Raw genomic sequence first — 7202 nt, 5'->3', positions numbered from 1 at the left:
TTATTATTCAGAGGAGGAATCTTGTTTAGCTTCAGAGCAGAACCACTCACTTTTTCACTGTAACTATCTAAAATAAATATATTTTTCTAAACATGTTGACCTTCCATTCAAAGCAAAGGAACTTCTGGTGGCTTTCAAGGACATGGGGGTCTGATTCACTTTTTACATCATGGCCATATACAGAATTGACTTGATTTGATAAAAGAAAACAAGAGACTCACACAAAACTATTTTGGATCCTTCCCATTTGCTTTTTGAATGTCCTGGTAAATGGACCTGCTAAAAGGTCATTGACGTTAAAATCCACTGCAAGTCCATCCTGCCTCCCACCTGTTCCCAACCCAACTGATGGGTCACTGGAGCTCTGATGTGATGTGCACGTGGCCCACATTCTTCTGCTATCAGGCAGCTGCCTGCATCACAGCTGGCACCCTCGCAAAGCCCAAATCAACCTCTAAACCCTGCTTCTGATGGTTCAGGAAGTTGATATGCCATCTTTCTGCGTTGATTTTCAGAATGATTTCTATTCCCTTTTCAGTAAAGGTAATTACTGAGAAGTTTCTAACAATTTTCTTGCTTCCAGCAGTAAGCATTCTCATAAATTAGCTTTTCAAATAGGCTCTTAAATATTACATTTGGCCTAGAATTGGTGTCTGCTTCCCATGCTCAAGCTTAGGGTCTTTTGCCAAGCTCAACATTGTCACATTGCAAGAATGTTCAGGCAGAAATAGAGCTCCAAGTCAGCAATGCATGTGAACAAAAGGAAGCAGATACTTTATCTCACTGTAGAGTGTCCTTTAGGTTTATTCTGACTTATTTAGTTAAGAACTGACCTTTGCAAGAAAAAAAGAGAGATTTAAAATAAAAGAAAGCAAAAGTTTTTCATATAAAATGTTTTGTACTATTATGAAATTAGTAAAGCAAGTGCATTGATGAAATGTGGATTCACAAAACAAACAAAGCTCTTAGTTCTTAAGGTACCAAAACTGGCTCTAACTTACCCTTTTAGGAAGAATATGGGAAAGATCACAGATTCTAAATGAAATCTCCAAAAGCTGAATCATGGCCAAGCCAGGAGATCCGTGACTCCTCTCCCCAAAGTGCCACTATAGAGATGGATACATAAACACAATCAACCATTAAAGTGCTATGGGAATTACAAACACCATACAACAATCTGAGAAGTGTTCACTCACGAAAATCTGCTGAACTCTGGATAAGAAGAAGAGAGGGAATCTGTGGCATGCTGGGTGGCCTTGCTTCCATCTGACCCCAGCTTGGTAGGAATGAAGGCTTTGCCGTGGTGTTACGGGCCTTGAGAACTGGAAGCTTCTCTGTCCTAGTCAAAGGGACTCATTCACTTAGACCAGTGGACTTGGCCACACTCAGCGCAGCCTTGTTGGTAGAACTGGTTATTTTGAAGTTGGTCAAGTAGGGAGGGCCAATTGATTAACTAGCCTAAGGGTGCATGGTTAGAACAGCATACGCTAGACTGAGGCTACACACATGCGCACTAGAGTCAAGCGGGCACAAGCCAGCTACACACTCCTGTTTAGCCTTGAGGGTACACACATTTGCATAAGAGATGTGAATGGACCCAGTAGAAAGTAAAACTAGGGAAGAGTTGAAAACCTTCTGAACCTTAAATTCATTGTAAGGAACGGAAGCCTTACTGACTCAAGGTGGTGAGCACAACCCCTGCCCAGTTATGGACAGACACCAACATATGCAGACAGGGGGTTGACCCCTAGGAATTTAGAATTAAACGTAAAACTGAAAACTTTGAAAAATGAGCAAAGACATCAACAGTCCTGCATCATAGAGAGACAAATTTCACAGATTCACCCAGAGAAGTTACAGAAAAAAGAAAGAGAGAGGATTCATAGAGAAAGGATTAATGGAACTTGTCCCTATGGGCAGTCGACAACCATACCCCTACAGTGTGCAATCAAAATAAAATCTAGCATAGAAGGTCAGGAGGCTGAGGGAAGTTGCCCAAATAAAATGTCACAATCCTTTTCCCGATTTCTGCAACAAAGTCAATATTCAGATCAAAATTCCTTTGACTGAAGGAAAAGCCAGGTTCCCAGAAGGAAGGACCCTATGATGCCACATGGTAATGATTTCTCCAGGGGCATCTCTTGCCATTTGCTTGTGTAAACATATGCCGGGGAGGGGAGAGGGAAATACCTAAATTTTATTTAAGGGCTGTTGGAATTGCCTCAGCTAAAACGATTTGCTTCGCCCAAGGTCATTTCTCCTTCTTGGGTTAGTCCATATACAATGACTGGTCCACAGAGAAATATAAAAGCCACCTCACGCCAACTCATGAGAACCTTCAGAGTTCCCAGCAGTGTTGGCTGAGGCCTTCGTGGTGCCTGCCTTACAGCCTCTCCTCTCCTTCTGCCCAGTCCAGTTTTCTTACTCTTCCTTCCAAGAGTACATGGCAGTAAGTTTCCTGCATCCTGATCTCCATCTCAGAGTGTGTCTGCCAGGGAACCCAAATGAGATAATACACTCAAAAATGCTTTGTAAACTGCAGCGCTCTGTACACTTGTAAATTATTATATCTCTGAGCTAAGTTGTTTTATGTTGTTTTCTTGGCCATCTATTAAACAAAAATCTACCATGAACATGAAAACGGCTGCTAGGAAGACTTTAGGATTCTACTACTTAAGATATCCTTCTTAGAGTAAATAGAACTATGGCAAAGACTATCTTTTAAAATCCGGGAATGAAAGAATAGTAATGAGTTGTGCATCTCATTAACATTTTATGTGAAAAATTAATGCTCGCATATCCCCCAGTCTTTATTGCCTCTATAAAGAAGGCCATGCAGACCCCTAAATGGTGTTCCTGGGTGATTAACTGAGTATTTGCATCCTGCTAATCACTCACACTTGTACATTATGATACCTAAGGCCTTTTTGCTTTTAGAGTTCTAGTAAAAAAGCAATATAAAAAAATAAATGAAATAAGCTAGGGTGTCATTTACTTTTTCATGTTAAATGAGCCAGTGATTAGAAAAAAGAAAACTAGTTAATATTCTGTTCCTCCAAGATTTAGTGTGGGAATGCTTATGAAAATATGCCTTTGACAAAAATAGGGGTAAATGAGCAATTGAGGTTGTTGAAACTCCAGATTCCCCAGTGGGCTACACCACAAAAGGCTTTTATGCTTTTTTCCCTGGAGGCATATCAGTTGGGTTCCACACCTGTAAATAAAAATGACAATATTTCTGATACCAGAAATATAGGGGAACAAAACATCACTGACAGCATATTGTCTATAAAACAACTCAGACTAAATATTTAATGTTCTTTGAATAAATTAGTTGTCTAGGCCTGAATTGGAGATAGTCAGTTCCCCTGAATAATGTGCGTATATGAAATCCAATAAAGACGATCAACGAAAGTGTCTTATCTTTGGCGTCTACTAAGTTACAACCTCAAATGGTCACAAGTCCTAGCAGGTATAAAAAAACAAAGAAACAACAGCAACCAAAAAAAAAAAAAAGTGTGAATCAGACTGATTACGTAAGCAAAGTAATAGAGGATGGTGAAGTTTGTGGCTATTTAACTCTTAAAAGCATTCAAATTCCATATTTATATAAAATCGTACATACAAATAAACCACAATGGTAGCCAGAAGATCAGGGAAGCCACTTGCTGCCTGTTTTATATTATGATCCAATTTTTTCACTTAAAAAATACAATTTCAGGTTTACGTAGTAGGGGCATGGGGAAGAGACTTGTCAGTTGTTTATGCATCTTTCAAACTGTGGCAAATCATTTTTAGTATTGGTGGATATTTTAATACTGTCCCAACATACTTTTGAAATTTGTGGAACATTGTAGGTTTTTATATTTTAGAACTAAGTTTGGTTCTTATGCTAATTGCCAACTTTCTATTTCATTAATTTATTTTTAAAAATTAGTTTATATAACCTCTCTGTACTTCATGTCTCTTAGCCCAAAACATAGAGAATAACATAGACTTGGGAAGGTGATTTCATTGTGGGGGAGGTCCTGAGTGATATGGATAGGGCTCAGAAATTCCTTATAGCCAAGGTGGCCCAAAAACCTGAGGTCAAGGATACCTATTATTTGTGCGCTGATGCCTGTTCTGTGTTGGTATCCTGTTCAGTTTACCTACTACTTCTGCTACAACAACTGTTAACACCCAGTGCATGCAGAGTGGCTGGAAAGGGGGTTAACAGTTGCAGAAAGGGTAGTTAACAGATGCAGAAATATGTAATTAACTGGAAGCAAAATATAGTAAATGCATTAGCCAACACTGATTAGTTAGCTATAGGAGTTACCTTTAAAGTATCAACCTCATTTACATAATAGAGATAGGTAGGTTATCTCAGGACCCTATTTTATAGATGAAAACATCTAGAAACATAAAGCTTAAGCAATTTGTCCAAAGTCATAGATTCAGTTTAAAAAAGAAGCCAGGATTCAAATCCAGGCATTCTGACTCCATGGCTTATGCTCTTAGTCAATATAAACAACACACATTTCGATGATATTGCAGAGGAGTCACGAAGCTTTCCACAGTCCTTGGAAAGGATACAAGAGATAAATACTGACCTCAGAAAGTAAGAGTATTTAGGGAAAACCAGAGAGTAGATGATGTTTTTTATCTATTTTTCCCATCTTTTTCTGTCTTCCTAGATATATTCCAAATATCTATCTCTAGCGTCTCCAAATTAGAGCACTTGAAACTGCAGCAACTTGTATCCTTATTTAAATCTTCTTGATTCTACACTTCATTGTCCTAACATTCCCCTTTGACTTTAATAATAGCCTGTGTTTTATTAAGAATTTACCCTTAACGAGGCACTGTGCTAAATAGTTTCTACACATTAACATACTTAACTCTATGTTAATGACTCTTAATCTTTTTATTTCTTTCTCTTCCTACATATGAGCATTAATCCAAGTTTCATCTCCTGCCTGTGATTCAGTGATCACCTCTTTTAGTCTTTTTTCCAAACCTGCCTTCTAGCTCTATCCTGTCTGTTGGGCACGACCTCTACATTTGTGATCATCTGCTCCCCAAGTTCATCTTAATGTCAGGCTGGCAGATACTACATTTGTTTTTATCAAAACTGAACTTGTCTTCTTCTCACAAATTGTTCCTTCTAATGACTTTCAAATGACCATTAATGGAACTTCCATCCTTCCTTTCTGCCATCCGGAATCATCCTTTACACATTCTTCTAAGTCATGCCTCCATACGACTGGGAGTGGCTCTGAGTCCCACAGAGTCGTAACTCTTTCAGTACCCTTCTCAATCATCTCCTCCTCTTCATTACTCTTGTTATTACCCTTGCTCAGGCTCTAACAATTCTACAAAAGGGTCTCGCTTTTAAGTTTTCTAAAGTTCAGCCTTTGTTCTCAAATGCTTATATATTTGATAGTTTTACACACAGTAAGATACAATTATAAACCCATCGCTGATTTTAAAATGTCTACCAAATTTCTAACTACTCTAATATTTGAACTCAACTCGTCCCTCACTTACTTATTGTTTGCTATTCTTTCTGTTGTTTCTAATCATGTGTTTCATTTTCTAATACAATTTAATCACAGTTCCCCAAATAAGCCATGCCATTTTTTTTCCCAATGTTCCCTTGTTTGCCCTATTTCTTCTACCTGGATGCTCCTTTCCTTACTCTCCATCTTTCCAGGTCCCATTTATGTATTATGGAGAGTATTTGAAATACTCTCCATCTTTCCAGGTCCCATTTATGTGTCTTCCAGGAAATCTTTTCTGATTACCCCAAAAGAGGTAATTACTCTGTCTTTAAAACTCCATAGCATTTTAATTGTTTTCAAATGGCCCCTAGTGCTTTTTTAAAACATGTGTTATATTTATTTGCACATATGTTTTATTTCTATACTGAACTGTATGAAATTTTATAGTAATAGGCATCATTTCTTATATATTTTTATCTTTGAATCAGAGTCCTGGCTTGAGGAGATAGCTGGCACTCTCAATATGAGAGTGCTTGGAAAGGTGTGGGCAGGGTACAAAGAAACCACAGGGAAGACTGGCATTACCTTGGCTAATCACAGCAAAGCTGTTACCACCTCCAGGTTTTAGGAATCAAGGGAAAGGAGTAGTTCCTGGATGGGATGGGTGTAGCCTTGAGAGTTCCTGTGACCTTTAGTGCAGGGTCCACCCAGCCTGAGGCAGTCCTGCAGGGCAGCTCCAGCTGAAGTCAAGCCTGCCCCTTCACCTCCTCCCCTCAAATCTCCTGCTGGGGCTTTCATTGGCCAAAGGCAACCTGGAGTCAAAGGTCAAAGGAGCCTGTTGACTCCAGGCCCCACTCCTGGGATGATAATTGTGTTGAGAAAGTTGGAAAGGAGATCTGGAGGGCCGAACCGAAGAGATATAAAACAATCATTAAGATCAAACATTTACTGAACATTTGTCCAATACTCCTTCGAGTTGTAAATGGAACATTTGCAACTCATTTGCAATTAATGACATTTTGAGGTTGAAATATTTTTAAAGTTGTATGGTTCAGTTAACCTCCCTTACCAAGCATAATTTTTGCATTCTGCTCAATGCAGTGATAAAGAAATAGACTTATTCTTTTTTTTTCCAATATGTGTACTCTCATGATGTTTCTTAAGAATAAAATGACTTTTCAATATTGAACTGATGCTGACATAGAGATTATTTTTTCCCCAGGTTTATTGAGGTGCAGTTGACAGTTAAAAAGTGTATCTATTGGTATAGCCATTGTGAACAACAGTATGGAGGCCGCTTGAAAAAATTAAAAATAGAACTGCCATTTATGATTCAGCAATCCTACTTTTGGATATATATTGAAAGGAGATAAAATTAGTATCTTAAAGAGATATATGAACTTCCCTATTTATTTCGGCATTATTTAAAATAGCTAGGATTGTTTTCAAATGTACATTTTAAGAATGACAATTTTCTGGAAGAAAAAGGGCAGTGAAAAATGACCTACCTGGTTACTAAGTTTCACATATCTCTTGCCAAAGGTCATAAAAAATCAAGATTTATTTTCCTTTTTAACTTCTTAGTTACTTTGAACTTTCACTATGGCTATTTTTGTAGACCCCAAAATGTGTAAGTCAAAGAAAGAGCAATGGGACTTCTGATGTACAAGGATTCAGTCCGTTATTCAGTGAAGATTTATTCTTGAGCTTCTAATA

This window comes from Homo sapiens, chromosome 20, assembly GCF_000001405.40.
Source record: "Homo sapiens chromosome 20, GRCh38.p14 Primary Assembly".
Lineage (NCBI taxonomy): Eukaryota > Metazoa > Chordata > Mammalia > Primates > Hominidae > Homo > Homo sapiens.
This window is presented reverse-complemented; position numbering follows the sequence as displayed.